The sequence below is a fragment of the Homo sapiens genome, chromosome 7 (assembly GCF_000001405.40).
Source record: "Homo sapiens chromosome 7, GRCh38.p14 Primary Assembly".
NCBI lineage: Eukaryota > Metazoa > Chordata > Mammalia > Primates > Hominidae > Homo > Homo sapiens.
This window is the reverse complement of record NC_000007.14, coordinates 128,367,229-128,385,034: the sequence shown is the minus strand read 5'-3', so window position 1 is coordinate 128,385,034 and position 17,806 is coordinate 128,367,229.

Here is a 17,806-nt window from a genome sequence, read left to right as displayed (position 1 = left end):
GTCACCCATAAATACCTGTTAAATGCTGAATGAATACATAAAACATATTCATCACCCGGTCCACAACAGGAAGTATATAGCAAGGCTGAGGATATAAAGATATCAAGAGGACACGTGCTCCCTTGAGGAACCAGCCAGCTGGCAGGGGAGACCAACCTTCTTTTGTATTTGTGGGTAATGCAGCGTATACAGGATCATAACACAAAGATGGCACTTGGAGGGTTGGCTCTACGCTGGACACTGTGTTAACATGCGTGGTGCCATTTAATACAGCCCTGGGAAGTGGGGACTAAAATCATCCTCATTTCCAGGGGAGAAAACAGGCTCAGAGGGCCATAGTAATTTGCCTAAGGTCACCCAGCTTCTCAGCCACTGAGCTGAGGTTGTGACCCAGCCTCATTCTTTCTATTTTTATTTTTATTTTTTTGAGAGAGGGTCTCACTCTGTCACCCAGGCTGGAATGTGGTAGCATGATTATGGCTCACTGCAGCTTTGACCTCCCAGGCTCAAATGATCCTGTCACCTCAGCCTCTTGATTAACTGGGACTACAGGTGCATGCTACTACATCTACTAATTTTTTCTTTGTATTTTGTGTAGAGATGGGGTTTCACCATGTTGCCCAGGCTGGTCTCGAACTCCTGGCCTCAAGTGATCCTCCTGCCTCAGCCTTCCAAAATGCTGAGACTACAGGCATGAGCCACCGCCCAGCCCACAGCCTCAATCTCTAGCCCCAAAGTCCCTGCCCCTCCCACTCTCCCGGGGTAGGGCAGAATAGCCTGGGGATGGAGAAAGGAAAGAGAAGAGTGGGGTGGAGGTTCTTCCTGTCAGTAGGAGAGAGGTAGAGAAGGACTGAGCTGGCAGGGGGCCCTGGGCGACAGGGCCCCGTGCCAGCCCCACCAACCTCCTCCCTCCCCTTGTGTGCTCTGCAGCCCTGGGGCTGATTGGACTCCCTCTCTGGCATCAAACTTCTTTGTCACACCCCCACCCTTGCCTCAGGACTGGCTACACAGGGATCTCTTTCTGGTCCAGTCAGGCATATAAGCCCAGGCTGACAGGCATCCGGGTGCCAGGGCAGCTTCAGCTGGCCAAGGCTGAGGTCATAGGCTGAGCACTCAGGGCCTGGCCCCTCCTCCCTCTCATTGCAGGCTCAGCCCTTGCCCTGCCCTTCTGCAAAATTCCCCTCTGACCTCCCTCCTGCCCCACAGCTGCCCCACAGCAGGCTCTGGCTTCTACCTGACAAGGCCCAGTGTATTAGTTTCCTTTGGCTGCTGTAACAAATCACTATACATTTAGCAGCTGAAAGCAACAGAAATGTACAATCTTACTGTTCTGGAGGCCAGAAGTCTACAGTGGGTCCTCCGGGCTGCATTCCTCCTGGAGGCTCTAGGGGAGAACCCATTTCCTTGCCTTTGCTGACTTCTAGCGGCTGTCCCTTCCTCCATCTTCAGAACCAGCTACATAACATCTTTAAATTTCCCTGTCTTTCTACCCTGCTTCCATTTTCACACCTGCACTGACTCTGACACTCTTGTCTCCCTTATAAAGACCCTTGTGGTTATATTGGGACCACCTGATAAACTCTGATAATCTCCTCATCTCAAAACCTTCAACTTAATCACACCTGCAGAGTTCCTTTTGGCATGTAAGGTAACACATTCACAGGTCCTGCATTATGGACATCTTTGTGGGGGTCACACCTAGCTAGGATGGCGACCTCTTCCCTAACTAGAGGAAGTAGTTCTGAACACGTTACCATGATCTCATGCTATCCTTGTGGGCAGCATGGATCCCCACAGTACAGATGACAAGCCTAGGTGACTCCAAAGCCTGTGGCCTTGTTGCAATCTCTAGGTTGCCTCCCAGATTGGAAATAAACCCCTCCCTCCTGGAGCTCCCCCATGGACCCTCTGCTTTGGCTTGCTTCCCTTGGGTTTGCATCTTGGTCTGGCCTACAAGCTCCCTGAGGCAGAGGAGCCCTGGCATGGGGAGTGGAGGAGGAGGCACTCAGGCACCATCAGAGTAGAAGGAAACAGAGGATTTTGTGGGCTGTGGGACAAGTGGGCTCTGGAGGATCTATGATTCCCCTGCCATATTTGCAACATTGTGTGTCTGTCCATTTTTCTGGCAGAGGGAGCAGAACTTCCACCAGATTTTCAGCGGAAGCTCCACCTCCAAGGATCAAGATAACCCCGTTCTGGGCTGCCCCTGATCCTCCCTTTCCTGGGCTCCCTTCTCTGAGCCTGCCTGTCACCAGGGCTCACTCAGCACCAGGGGATGAGGCGGGGGACGGTGGAGAGGGAGTGAGATGAGAGGCTGCTCCATGCTGCCCCCACTCCGCACCTGTTGTGCATTCCAGAAGGACCCACTCAGATCTGTCTGGCCAGAAGGCAGGGGAACTTTCTGGGCCACCTTAAGCCAAGGCAGGTCACCAAGGCAGCTGAATATGTGCAGGGACATGGGTGGGGATGGCAGTGCAACCCTGCTGTCTCCTCTAGATTGCTCACATCTGTCTGTGAGGCAGGCGGCCCCTTGCTGAAATGCAGATTGCAGGGGTAGGGGGCAAGAGTCTGCTTTTCTTTCTTTTTTTCTTTCTTTCTTTCTTTCTTTCTTTCTTTCTTTCTTTCTTTCTTTCTCTTTCTTTCTTTTTTCTTTCTTTTCTCTTTCTTTCTTTCTTTCTTTTTCTCTCTCTTTCTTTCTTTCTTTTTCTTTTTTTTTTTTGAGTTGGAGTCTTGCTCTGTCACCCAGGCTGGAGTGCAGTGGCGCGATCTCAGCTCACTAACTTCACCTCCCAGGTGCAAGTGATTCTCCTGCCTCAGCCTCCCAAGTAGCTGGAATTATAGGCACTTGCCACCACGCCTGACTAATTTGTATTTTTGGTAGAGACGGGGGTTTCACCATGTTGGCCAGGCTAGTCTTGAACTCTTGACCTCAAGTGATCCACCCACCATGGCCTCCCATAGTGCTGGGATTACAGGCATGAGCCACCGCACCCAGCCAAGAGTCTGCTTTTCTAACAAGCATCCGGTGCTGCTGGTCCATGGCCACACTTTGAATACGAGGACCTAGAGGACCTGGGCCTACTTCTGTCCCTTTCTCCTCTGCATTCGTTCAATGATTTGTGTCTTTGGAGCTCCCACAATATGTCATTCTCCACTTTCCCCCCACCAGCTTCACCCCCTGGCACTGGCTGTGAGGGCCTGGCGGGGGGTGGGGGGAGTTGCTGCCCACTCTCCTTTCCCTGGCAGGGTCTGGTCCCTCGGGGGCCGGGAATGGCCTTGCTCAGGGCGCCGGGATGAAGTGAGCACTCCTCCGCTGGGCTTCCTCGTCACCTTCCATGCTTCTGCCAGCCCTGCGTCTCTGTGGTCTCCGCCCTCCCAGCTTTTCCTGCCCTTGGCCCTCAAAGACATGACTTCACTCGCCTATCAACCAGCAGTGACCCCGCCTGGAAGAAGGAGGGTAGAGCGGCCTTCGCAGCTGTGCCAATGCAGAACTGGAACACAGCTCTCTCCATTGCCAGGGAAGGCTGATCCAGACACTTTATTAGGATTTCAGAATTTGGGGTGGAGTTCGATGAATGACTTATTACACCTTGTAAAACAGGAAGTGTGTTTTGAGCAATCTGCCCCAATAGCTGGAGGCACTAGTATTTCGGGTGTGTCCCCTTCACCCAAGCCCTCATTCCTAGGCAGGTCTCAGAAAGGGTTCCACTAGCGCCCCCTACAGGCCACATGATCAGGGCTCGGCTTGTGGTGGGGTGGGGAGCGCAGAAACATGCAGACCACAAGCTGTTTGCACGCATAGCCTGCACTCCAGATATCCAGCAGCCCACCCAATACCCAGGAGAGGGCCGGGGGGCCAGGGGAGAGAGAAAAGGAATGGAGGGCTTCGGAAGGGCTCCTCTCTTCTCCCCCAGCAGCCCCAGGCACAGAGCATGTCCCCCACCAGCCCCTGCCCCCAGCCTCCCTGCCCAGACAGGCTCTCTCACAGGTCAGGGAGTTAAGTGGCCCCAGCACCAACATTGCCATTTAGCAGTCCTGCCACTTACATCACGAAGGCCTCAGATCTCAGAGGAGACAGGGAGGAGGGCTGAGAGGAGGAGCCAGAGATTGCCATGAGGTTCCTTCCCAGCTCTTGGCTGCAGGGAGTGGAGAGGCCTGCAGAGGTGAGCTGGGGGCCTGTACTGGGGCTCCAGAGGGAGCATAAGGTGTCTTCCTTTATGCATCGACACCCTGACTAGGCCTTATGTGGGTGCTGACCTGGTGGCTTTGTTGTGGTCCTCCCCCTGCCACAGGCCCCTCAGCTGCTCCTCTGTTCTCTGAGGACCTGAGGGATCATGACCTGGGAGGGGAGGGGGTCACAGGCAGGAGGTCTCCACTCTTCTGATGCAAGAAACAGCTGAGTTCGCCTGGCACCTGTGGAAAGCCTTCAGGCTGTCAAAAGCCAAAGCCTCACTGAGGTTTGTTCCTACTTTGGTGTTGGTGCAGGAGAAGGGGCTTGGATCCAAGCCCCCAGTGCTGACATTGACCTACCACCCCATCCCCCTTACCCTGTGCTTGGGTGGTCCAGGGGTCTTTGGCAGGGTGGGAGGGGCAGGAGTGGGGGACTCTGCTCTAAGTGGGCAAGTTGTGTGCCTTTTCACAGTGACAGGAGAACAAGGACAGTCGGCCCTGGGGCCTACTTTGCCCTACAAAATAGATCAGTCTTGCAGATGGTGCATAGCTCCTCCCAGCTGCCAGCCCCCTCACCTCTTTACCTGCTGGTGAGAGTACACCTTGTGGCCCAGCCACTGGTAAGACTCCTCTCCTGGCCGCTTGCATCTCTTCCTTGCCCCCGGCCCTGTCCTGGTGTCCCCCACTACCAGTCTCTCCTGTTCACTGACCCAGATTTCTCCACCCCCTCCGCTGCACCCAGCGGCTTCATCTTTCACTCCTTGGAATCCTAGTCCTGTAGTAAGAATAGTAGCAAACACTCAGACAGCATTTCTATGTGCCGGGCACTGTTTAAAGCACTCTGTGTATATTGATTCATTTAATGGTGGCAGTAACTCTAGGAGGGAGAGACAATTATTATCCCAATTTTGCAAATGAGAAATCTGTTACATTGGGAAACAGTAAGATTGAGTTAAGCCTAAGGGCTGAAGAAAGAAGGAGATAGAGACCAGCAAAGCAGGCCTTGGGAGCAGTCATCCTTATCCAAAGATGAAAAGACTTGTTTTTTGTCATTACAAAGTAATGTGTGCAGCAGACTTCCCTGACCCTTGCCCTACCTACTCCTGATCCCCAAGAGCTACAGACACAAAGGGATGAAAAACAGGCACCCAGGGCTGGGCACGGTGGCTCATGCCTATAATCCCAGCACTTGGGGAGGCTGAGATAGGCGGATCACTTGAGGTCAGGAGTTTGAGACCGGCTGGGCCAACATGGTGAAACCCCGTCTCTACTAAAAACACAAAAATTAGCTGGGTGTGGTGGCACATGCCTGCTGTCCCAGCTACTTGCGAGGCTGAGGCACGAGAACCACTTGAACTCGGGAGGCAGAGGTTGCAGTAATCAGAGATCTTACCACTGCACCACTCTAGCCTGGGCTACAGAGGGAGACCCTGTCTCAAAAAAAAAAAAAAAAAAAAAAATCAGGTACCCACTGGAGGGCCCCTCTGCTGGCCTGTTCCCATTCTCCAGTCCTAGAATACAGGGCAGGAGGGGAGAAGGCCAGGGACCAGAGCCAGGAGGGCTCCTGGGTTCCAGGCTCTATTCCTCAAGCCGCCCCCCTCACCACTCTGCTTCTTGTTCACCTCCAGTTTTCTTCATTTCTCTTGGGAGAGAGCGGGACCTGGCCCTGTGGGTGCTGGGAAAGGTGTTCTGGCCTGCCTGGGAGGGGGCAGCCCCAGAGAGCTGGGCTGAGGTGCCCTCATTCCAGACCTGTCGTGTCCTCATTCCAGGCCTGTCTTTTCTTGACATCCCTGCCGTGGTCCTTCCCCTCTGCCTTCCCTTCGCTCTGACTCCCAGACTCAAAACAAACTCTACTCTCAGGTGGTTGGTGCCTGAGTCCCGTGCTGTTACTGGTCCACTGTCCCCTCCCAGAAGGGATTCAGCTGCAGGAGTATCCCTAAAATGTAGCCTCACTCTCTGCCCCTAGAGAAGGACAGAAAGCCTCAGAGTGTGGTTGAAAGAGGGAGAGAGTGCAAACTGCTGAGCTCAGAGAGGCCAGACGAGGAAGTGGCTGTTGGAAAGATGTTAGCCAGGGCCACTGGGAGGGGGTGAGGGAGATCAGAGTCTGGGACCCAGAAAGATGACAGGGCTCTTAGATGACAGAGCTGTTCAGGGTGTTGAGATATACACCTGGGTGATTTGTTTGGTATTGATTCTAAATATCACTCTTTAAATTGTGATTACAATGTAATCTATGGGCTGGGTGCAGTGGATCATGCCTGTAATCCCAGTACTTTGGGAGACCAAGGTGGGAGGATTGCTTGAGGCCAGGAGTTTAAAAACCAGCCTGGACAACATAGGGCTAACTTAAAAAAAAATTAGCCAGGCGTGGTGGCACACACTTGTAGTCGTAGGTACTTATGAGGCTGAGGCAGGAGAATCCCTTGAGCCCAGGAGTTCTAGGTTACAGTGAGCTATGATCATGCAACTATACTCCAGCCTGGGCAATTGAGGGAGACCCTGTCTCTTTAAAAAAAAAAAAAAAAAAGTGGTCTATGGATAAGCCATGACTGGGAGAAAATATTTGCAAAGGACGTAGCTGATAAAGGACTGTTATTGAAAATATTTTTCTTTGTTTTTCTTTTTCTTTCTTCTTTCTTTCTTTCTCTTTCTTTCTTTCCTTCCTTCCTTCTTTCTTTTCTTTTCTTTCTTTCTTTTTTTTTTTTTTTGTTTATTTGAGACAGAGTCTCGCTCTTTCGCCCAGGCTGGAGTGCAGTGGCGCGATCTCTGCTCACTGCAAGCTCCGCCTCCCGGGTTCACGCCATTCTCCTGCCTCAGCCTCCCGAGTAGCTGGGACTACAGGTGCCCGCCACCACGCCCGGCTAATTTTTTATATTTTCAGTAGAGACGGGGTTTCACCGTGTTAGCCAGGATGGTCTCGATCTCCTGACCTCGTGATCCGCCTGCCTCGGCCTCCCAAAGTGCTGGGATTACAGGCATGAGCCACCGCGCCCGGCCTTTTCTTTCTTTCTTTTTTTTTTTTGAGACAGAGTCTCACTTTGTTGCCCAGGCTGGAGTGCAGCGGTGCAATTTTGGCTCACTGCAACCTCTGCCTCCCAGGTTCAAGCGATTCTCCTGCCTCATCCTCCTGAGTAGCTGGGATTACAGGTGTGTGCCACCATGCCTGGCTAATTTTTGTATATTTAGTAGATATGGGGTTTCACGATGTTGGCCATGCTGATCTCGAACTCCTGACCTCAAGTGATCTGCCTGCCTTGGCCTCCCAAGGTGCTGGGATTACAGGCATGAGCCACTGTTCCTGGCCAAGAACCCTTAACACTCAATAATAAGAAAAAGAACAATGTGATTTAAAAATGGGCAAAAGAGCTGGAAGGATAGCCCAGCAAAGAAGATATACAGACAGACAATAAGCATATGAAAGATTCTCAACATTGTATGTTATTAAGAAATGGCAAATTAAAACAACAGTGAGAAACTACTACATACCCACTAGAACGGCAAAAATCCGAAACACAAAATGCTGGCAAGGATGTAGAGCAACAGGAACACTTATTCATTGCTGGTGGGAATGCAACATGGTACAGCCACTTTGGAAGAGAGTTTGGCAGCTCCTTATGAAACTAAACATACTGTTACCATATGATGCAGCAATTGTGTTCCTTGGCATACCCCAATGAATTGAAAACTGTCCACAGAAAAACTTGCACAAGGATGTTTACAGCAGCTGTATCCATAATTGAAAACTTGGGAAGCAACCAAGATGTCCTGCAGTAGCTGAACGGATAAATAAACTGTGGTACATCCAGGTGATGGAATATTATTCAGTGCTAAAAAGAGGTAGGGTGGGCATAGTGGCGCATGCCTGTAATCCTACCACTTTGGGAGGCCGAGGCAAGCGGATTGCTTGAGCTCAGGAGTTTAAGACCAGCTTGGGCAACATGGTGAAACCTTGTCTCTATAAAAAAAGATACAGAAATTAGCCAGCGTGGTAGCATGCACTGGTAGTCCCAACTACTCGGAGGCTGAGGTAGGAGGATCACTGGATCACTTGAGCCTGGGAGGCAGAGGTTGCAGTGAGCCAATATCACACCACTGCACTCCAGCTTCAGCCTGGGTGACAGAGTGAGACCCTGTCTCCAAAAAAAAAAAAAAAAGGGGGGGGAGCTATCAAGCCATGAAAATACAACATGGAGGAAATGTAAGTGGATATGACTAAGCCAATCTGAAAACATGCTATGTGATTCCAACTATATGACATTCTGGAAAGGGCAAAACTATGGAGGCAGTAAAAGGATCATTGGTTGCCAAGGGTTAGAGGGGAGGAAGGGATGAGTAGGTGGAACATGGAGAATGTTTAGGGCAGTGAAACTGTGCTGTATGGTACTACAATGGTGGATACGTGTCATTATACATTTGTCCAGACCCACAGACTATACAGTCCTGGAGAGATCCCTTATATAAACTATGGATTTTGGGTGATAACAATGTGTCAATGTAGTTCATTTATTGTAACAAATGTACCATTCTGGTGAGGGATGTTTATAATGGGGGAAGCTGTGCTTCTGTGTGGGCAGAGAGCTTATGGGAAATCTCTGTACTTTCCACTCAGTTTTGTTGTGAACCTAAAACAGCTGTAAAAAAGTAAAGTCTATTAAAAAAATTGAGATGGAGTCTTGCTCTGTCACCCAGGCTGGAGTGCAGTGGTGTGATCTTGACTCACTGCAACCTCCGCCACCTGGGTTCAAGCGATTCTCCTGCCTCAGCCTCCTGAGTAGCTGGGATTATAGGTGCCCACCACCTGTCCTGGCCAATTTTGTATTTTTAGTAGAGGCGGGGTTTCATCATGTTGGCCAGGCTGGTTTTGAACTCCTGACCTCAGGTGATCCATCCACCTCCACCTCCCAAAGTGTTGGGCTTACAGGCAAGAGCCACTGCACCCGGCCTATTTAACAATTTTTTAAAGTATTGAGTAAAAAAGGAAACAGAATGAGGCCAATTACCCAATGCCATTCATGTAAATTAAAAGCATAAATACAAATAAAATAGTATTCCATGTCAAAAAAAAAAATCTATGTTCAGGCCAGACAATTAGGAATACACAGAAAAATAAATGTAATAATTGTGATGCTATTGTATATATGCTTTTATGTCTTGCTTTTTTTCTCTTTTGCAGGCTTAGTATTTTAGTTCCACCTGGCTTGAAAAATTAACGTTGTAACATAATTATTTTTCATTTTATTACAATCTTTAACACTTTATTTATATTATTATTATTTTTTTTTTTTGAGACGGAATCTTGCTCTGTCACCCAGGCTGGAGTGCAGTGGCTCAATCTTGGCTCACTGCAACCTCCGCCTCCCAGGTTCACGCCATTCTCCTGCCTCAGCCTCCTGAGCAGCTGGGACTACAGGCGCCCGCCACCACGCCCAGCTAATTTTTTTTGTATTTTTTAGTAGAGACGGGGTTTCACCATGTTAGCCAGGATGGTCTCAATCTCCTGACCTCATGATCTGCCTGCCTTGGGCTCCCAAAGTGCTGGGATTACAGGCGTGAGCCACCATGCCCAGCCTAACACTTTATTTTTAATAGTTGCATTACGGTTGTTCCATAATTTATTTAGCCATTTCCCTATTTTTTTTTTTAATTGAGACGGAGTCTGGCTCTGTTGCCCAGGCTGGAGTGCAATGGTGCAATCTTGGCTCACTGCAACCTCTGCCTCCCGGGTTCAAGTGATTCTCCTGCCTCCGCTTCCCGAGTAGCTGGGACTACAGGTGTGCGCCACAATGCCCAGCTAATTTTTTTTGTATTTTTAGTATAGACAGAGTTTCGCCATGTTGGCTAGGCTGATCTCAAACTCCTGACCTCAGGTGATCCACCCGCCTCGGCCTCCCAAAGTGCTGGGATTACAGGCGTGAGCCACCGCACCTGGCTGCTATTTCCCTATTGTTAGACCATGTGGTAGTGTCCAGTGTTTTGTTGTTATAAATAATGCTGTAAGAATATCCTTAAGCTTTTTTGTTTGTTTGTTTGTTTGAGACAGTATCTGGCTCTATCTCCAGGCTGAAGTGCAGTCGTGCCATCATAGCCCACAGCAGCCTTGACTTCCTAGGCTCAAGCAATCCTCCTGCCTCAGCCTCCTGAGTAGCTGGGACCACAGGCATGTGCCACCATGCCCAGCTAATTTTTGTATTTTTTGTAGAGGTGGGGTTTCACCATATTGGCCAGGCTAGTCTCAAACTCCTGGGCTCAAGCAATCCACCCACCTCCACCTCCCAAAGTGCTGGGATTACAGGCTGAAAGGAAAATGTCTTTTGGTAGAGAGATTGACTATTGCTGTTGTTGTTTTGGTAAGAAATGGTTGAGAAAAAATAGTTCTATTTTGAACATGACAAGTTTGAAGTATCTCTTAGATAGCCAGGTAGAGATGTCAGGTAGGTGGTTAGATAAGATTAGTCTGTGGTTTAGAGGTCGGAGTTGGCATTTCCTAGATAGATGAGATTACCTAGGGAAAACTATAGATGGAGGAGGCAGAGCAGCAAAGGAGGAGAGCCAAGAAAATGCAGTGTCTCTGAAGGCAAGACAGTGAGTCTTCAAGAAGAAAGAGTAAATGATTGTGATGGTTAATTTTATGTATCAACTTGACTGGGCTCAAGGGTGCCCAGATAGCTGGTAAAATATTATTTCTGGGTGTGTCTGTGAGGGTATTTCAGGAAGAGATTAGCAGTTGAATCAGAAGACTGAGTAGAGTTTACCCTCACCAATGGGAATAGCCATCATCCAATGGTTTGAGAGGTTGAAGAGAACAAAAAGTCAGAGGAAAGATGAATTTTCTCTCTGCTTGAGCTGGGCATCCATCTCCTCATACCCTTGGATGTTGGTGCTCCTGTTTCTCCAGGCTTGAACCAGGACTTACACCATTGGTTCCCCCAGTTCTCAGCCTTCAGGTTTGGACTAGAACTATACCACCAGCTTTCCTGGGCCTTCAGCCTACAGACAGCAGATTGTGGGACTTCTCAGCTTCCCTAATTGCATAAGCCAATCTGTCATAATAAATCTCTTCCTACATACCTACATATATCCTTTTGGTTCTGTTTCTCTAGAGAACCTTGACAAATACAGTGATCAGTGAGATCTACTGTTTCAACAATGTCAAGGAAGAAGACCCAGCTCCACTGGACACAGCAGCCTAAAAGTCAGAATGACTTGGCAAGAGCTATTCGGTAAAGCAGTAAGATGGATGCCAGACTGGAGTACGGGGTGAGAATGTGGAGACAATACATGCAGACAACTCTGCTGGGAAGAGCAGGGAAATGGGGTGGGAACTTGATTAGTGCTGCTTCCCATTGCTTTGACCTTCCTGGATTCTTATGCCAGCATCACAGTTTTTGTTTGTTTGTTTGTTCATTTATCACAGAATCATTGTAGCTTTGTAAGTATAGTTTAACGAAATGAATATATACAAACCGTCCAAAGGAGCAAGTTTCTGCCATACATCCCACTTGCTACTCTTCTTTTTCAAAAGGGTTTATTTTCCCCCATTATTCTCACCAAGGAGCTTTAAAATAATTATTTCAAACTTTAAAAATATGTTGATAATTTATTTTATCTTATTTTATTTTATTTGAGACGGAGTCTCACTCTGTCACCTAGGCTGGAGTGCAGAGTGCAGTGGTGCGATCTCGGCTCACTACAACCTCTGCCCCCAGGTTCAAGTGATTCTCCTACCTCAGCCTCCCGAGTAGCTGGGATTACAGAGATTACAGGCCACCACGCCTGGCTAAATTTTGTATTTTTAGTGGAGATGGGGTTTCACGATGTTGGCCAAGCTGGTTTCCAACTCCTGACCTCAAGTGATCCGCCTACCTCGGCCTCCCAAAGTGCTGCGATTACAGGTGTGAGCCACCGCTCCTGGCATATATTGATATTTTAATTGAAATAGTACTAAAAATAGAAATCAAGTTGGAGAGAATAACTTTATAAAATTTTGAGGGCCTCTATCCATAAATAAGAGTTGTTTCTCCATTTATTGAAGCCTCTTTTATCTCTCTCAATAAAGTTGTATGGTTTTCTTCACAAAAGTTCTTTTCGGCCGGGCGCGGTGGCTCACGCCTGTAATCCCAGCACTTTGGGAGGCCGAGGCGGGCGGATCACGAGGTCAGGAGATCGAGACCATCCCGGCTAAAAAAACGGTGAAACCCCGTCTCTACTAAAAATACAAAAAATTAGCCGGGCGTAGTGGCGGGCGCCTGTAGTCCCAGCTACTTGGGAGGCTGAGGCAGGAGAATGGCGTGAACCCGGGAGGCGGAGCTTGCAGTGAGCCGAGATCCCGCCACTGCACTCCAGCCTGGGCGACAGAGCGAGACTCCGTCTCAAAAAAAAAAAAAAAAAAAAAAAAAAGTTCTTTTCATTTTTTGATAAACATAAACTTATTTGTCTTTAATGCACTTTGTTTATATGGAATATTTATATGGAATATTTGTTATATGGGATATTTAGCTTTAATCTAATCACATTTTTTTCTAATAGTTTTCTAACTGTTTCACGAAATAATTTTTTTTTTTTTTTTGAAACAGAGTCTCGTTCTGTTGCCCAGGCTGTAGTGCAGTGGTTCGATCTCGGCTTAGTGCAACCTCTACTCCCTAGGCTGAGGTGATCCTCCTGCCTCAGTCTATCTGGTAGCTAGGACTACAGGCATACCCAGCTAATTTATTTATTTATTTATTTTTTGAGAGGAAGTCTCACTCTGTTGCCCAAGCTGGAGCGTAGTGGCACGATCTCAGCTCACTGCAGCTTCCGCCTCCCGGTTCCAGCGATTCTCCTGCCTCAGCCTCCTGGGTAGCTGGGATTACAGACACGTGCCACCACATCTGGCTAATTTTTGCATTTTTAGTAGAGAAGGGGTTTCACCATATTGGCCAGGCTGGTCTCAAACTCCTGATCTCAGGTAATCCGCCTGCCTCAGTCTCCCAAAGTACTAGGATTACAGGCATGAGCCACCTCACCTGGCCACTGCCCAGCTAATTTTTATATTTTTTGTAGAGACATGGTTTTGCCATAATGCAATTAGCCAGGTGTGGTGGCATGTGCCTGTAGTCCCAGCTACTTAGGAGGCTTGTTTAGCCAATAATAATATTTTAACTTTTCCTTTATTCTTTTCCAATATTTTGTGCTTATTTTTTCTCCTCCTCCTTCTTTTTCTCCTCCTTAATCTTCTCCCCCTCCTCCTATTTTCTTTATCCTCCTCCTTGTTCTTCTGGTCTTATTGCATTGGCTACAAATTGTAAAACAAAGTTAAACATCAATATTGATAGAATCTCCATTTCTTTCTCTCTCTCTCTTTTTTTTTTTTTGAGACAGAGTCTTGCTCTGTCACCCAGGCTGGAGTACAGTGGCGCAATCTCAGCTCACTATAACCTCTGCCTCTCGAATTCAAGTGATTCTCCTGCCTCAGCCTCCCGAGTAGCTGGGAATACAGGCACACGTCACCATGCCTGTCTCACTTTTGTATTTTTAGTAGAGAAGAGGTTTCACCCTGTTGGCCAGGCTGGTCTTGAACTCCTGACCTCAAGTGATCCACCCACCTCAGCCTCCCAAAATGCTGGGATTACAGGCGTGAGCCGCTGCACCCGACCCTTTTTAGTTTTTTAAAAATGTACAATAACTTATTGTTGACTGTAGTCACCCTGTTGTGTTATCAATACTAGATCTTATTCATTCTATCTAATTATATTTTTGTACCCTTAACCATCCCCACTTCTTCCCACTGCCACTACCATTTCCAGCCTCTGGTATCCTTCTACTCTGTATTTCCATGAGTTCAATTATTTTCATTTTTAGCTCCCACAAATAAGTGAGACCATGGGAAGTTTGTCTTTCTGTGCCTGGCTTATTTCACTTAACATAATGACCTCCAGTTCCATCTATGTTGTTGCAAATGACAGGATCTCATTCTTTCATGTGGCTGAATAGTACTCCATTGTGTATATGTACCACAGTTTCTTTTCTTTTTAAATTTTTTCTTAAAAATTTTTTTATCAACGTTTAAGTTCCGGGGTATATGTGCAGAATGTGCACATTTGTTACATAGGTAAATGTGTGCCATGGTGGTTTGCTTCACTAATAAACCCATCAGCCAGGTATTAAGCCCAGCACCCATTGGCTGTTCCACCTGGTGCTCTCCCTCCCCCAACTTCCCTGATAGGCCGCACAATTTCTTTATCCATTCATCTGTTGATGGACACTTAGGCTGCTTCCTAATTTTCTCTTATGTGAACAGTGGCACCATAAACATGGGAGTGCAGCTATCTCTTTAATATACTGATTAGTTTTCTTTTTTTCTTTCTTTTTTTGAGACAGAGTCTCATTCTGTCGCCCAGGCTGGAGTACAGTGGCTCGATCTTGGCTCACTGCAACCTCTGCCTCCCAGGTTCCAGCTATTCTCCTGCCTCAGCCTCCTGAGTAGCTGGGATTACAGGCCTGCACCACCACACCTGGCTAAGTTTTGTATTTTTAGTAAAGATGGGGTTTCACCATGTTGGCCAGGCTGGTCTCAAACTCCTGACCTTGTGATCCACCTGCCTCAGCCTCCTAAAGTGCTGGGATTACAGGCGTGAGCCACTGCACCCAACTATATACTGATTAGTTTTCTTTTGGGTATATACCCAGCAGTGGGATTGCTGGATCATATGGCAGTTCTAGTTTTAGTTTTTGGAGGAACCTCAAAACTGTTCTCCATAGTGGTTGTACTAATTTACATTCCATTTCTACCAACAGTGTACAAGAGTTCCCTTTTCTCCATATCCTCTCCAGCATTTGTTATTGCCTGTTTTTTTGGATAAAAGCCGTTTTAACTGTGGTGAGATGAGATCTCATTGTAGTTTTGCTTTGCATGTCTCTGGTGATCAATGATGTCAGACAGATTTTCATATACCTGTTTACCATTTGTATGTCTTCTTTTGAGAAATGTCTGTTCAGATATTTTGCTCATTTTAATTTTTTTAAATTTAATTTATTTTTTTTTGAGACAGAGTCTTGCTCTGTCACTCAGGCTAGAGTGCAGTAACATGATCTTGGCTCACTGCAGCCTCCACCTCCTGGGTTCAAGCAATTCTCCTGTCTTAGCCTCCCGAGTAGCTGGGACTACAGGTGCACACCACCACGCCCAGCTAATTTTTGTATTTTTAGTAGAGACAGGGTTTCATCATATTAGTCAGGCTGGTCTCGAACTCCTGATCTCAGGTGATCCCCGCCCCCGCTCCGGCCTCGGCCTCCCAAAGTGCTGGGATTACAGGCATGAGCCACTGCACCAGGCCTAATTTTTAAATTAGATTATTTGATATTTCCCTATAGAGTTGTTTGACCTCTTTATACATTCTGATTATTAATCCCTTTTCAGATGAATAGCTTGCAGATATTTTCTCTTATTCTTTGGGTTGCCTCTTCACTTGGTTTTGTTGCTGTGCAGAAGCTTTTTAACTTAATGTGATCCCATTTGTCCATTTTTTCTGTTGATGTCTGTGCTTGTCAGGTATTACTCAATAAATCTTTGTCCAATTCAATGTCCTGGAATTTCCTCAGTGTTATCTTTTAGTAGTTTCCTAGTTTCAGGTCTTAGATTTAAGTCTTTTTTTTTTTTTTTTGGGAGAACGAAAGCTCACTCTGTTACTCAGGCTGGAATGCAGTGGCGCCATTTCGGCTCACTGCAATCTCCGCCTCCCAAGTTTAAGAGAGTCTCCTGCCTCAGCTTCCCTAGTAGCTGGGACTGCAGGCACACGCCATCATGCCCGGCTAATTTTTGTATTTTTAATAGAGACGGGGTTTCACCACATTTGCCAGGCTGGTCTCGAACTCCTGACCTCAAGTGATCTGCCTGCCTTGGCCTCCCAAAGTGCTGTGATTACAGGTGTGAGGCACCACACCCGGCTGATCCTTTGCATTTCTGTGATATCACTTGTGATGTCTCCTTTTTCATCTCTGATTTTATTTATTTGGGTCTTCTCTCTTTCTTCTTAGGTAGTCTGGCTAAAGGTTTGCCAATTTTGTTTGTCTTTAAAAAACAACTTTTCAGCTGGACGCGGTGGCTCATGCCTGTGATCCCAGCACTTTGGGAGGCCAAGGCAGTGGATCACCTGAGGTCAGGAATTCAAGACCAGCCTGGCCAGCATGGCGAAACCCTGTCTCTACTGAAAATACAAAAAATTAGCTGGGCATGGTAGTGCATGCCTGTAATTCCAGCCACTTGAGAGGCTGAGGCAGGAGAATCACTTGAACCCAGGAGGCAGAGGTTGCAGTGAGTTGAGATCGAGCCACTGTACTCCAGCCTGGGCAACAGAGCAAGACTCCATCTCAAAAAAAATAAAATAAAAATAATTTAAAAACTTTTCATTTCATGGATCTTTTATATTGTTTTCCTTGTTTCAATTTCATTAATTAATTAATTAATTTATTTTTTAGTCAGAGTCTCACTCTGTCACCCAGGCTGCAGTGCAGTGGCACGATCTTGGCTCACTGAAACCTGGTCCTCCCGGGTTCAAGCTATTCTCCTGCCTTAGCCTCCCAAGTAGCTGGGACTACAGGCTCATGCCACCATCCCTGGCTAATTTTTATATTTTTAGTAGAGACGGGGTTTCACCATGTTGGCCAGGCTGGTCTTGAACTCCTAACCTCAAGTGATCCACCCACCTCGGCCTCCCAAAGAGCTGGGATTACAGGCGCAAGCCACTGCGCCTGGCCTCTGCTCTGATTTGTATTATTATTTTTCTTCTACCAAGTTTGGGTTTGTCGCCTTGGCTTGTAAAAAAAAAAAAAAATAAGAAAAAAATGAAAGAAGAAAAAAAAGTTTGAATTTGGTTTGCTCTGGCTGTCCTAGTTCCTTAAGATGCATTAAGTTGTTTATTTGAAGTTTTACTACTTTTTTGATGTAGGTGCTTATAGCTATAAACTTTCCTCTTAGTACTGCTTTTGCCGTATCCCATAGGTTTTGGTATGCTGTGTTTCCACTATCATTTGTTTCAAAATCTTTCAATTTCCTTCTTGATTCCTTGATTCACCCACTGGTTATTCAGGAGCATTTTGTTTAATTTCCATGTGTTTGCATAGTTTCTAAAGTACCTCTTATTGATTTCTAGTTTTATTCCATTGTGGTCAGAGAAGGTACTTGATATAATTTCAGTTTTTTTTTTTTTTTAAATTTTAAAGTCTTGTTTTGTGGACTAACATACAGTCTGTCCTTGAGAATGATCCATGTGCTGAGAAGAATGTGTTTTCTGCAGCCATTGGATGAAATGTTCTGTAAATATCTATTAGGTCCATTTGGTCTGTAGTACAGAACAAGTCTGCTATTTCTTTGTTGATTTTCTGTGTGGATGATCTGTCCAATGCTGAAACTGGGGTGTTGAAGTCTCTAGCTATTATTGTATTGGGGTCTCTTTAGCGCTAACGATATTTGCTTTATATATCTGGGTGTCACGGGTATGCTTAAAAAAGATAAGAAAATGGGCTGGACTTGGTGGCTCATGACTGTGATTCCAGAACTTTGCAAGGCTGAGGTGGGAGGGTCAGCATGAGCCCAGGAGGTTGGTGCTTCAGTGAGCTGTGATTGTGCCACTGCCTTCCAGCCTAGGTGACAGAGCAGACT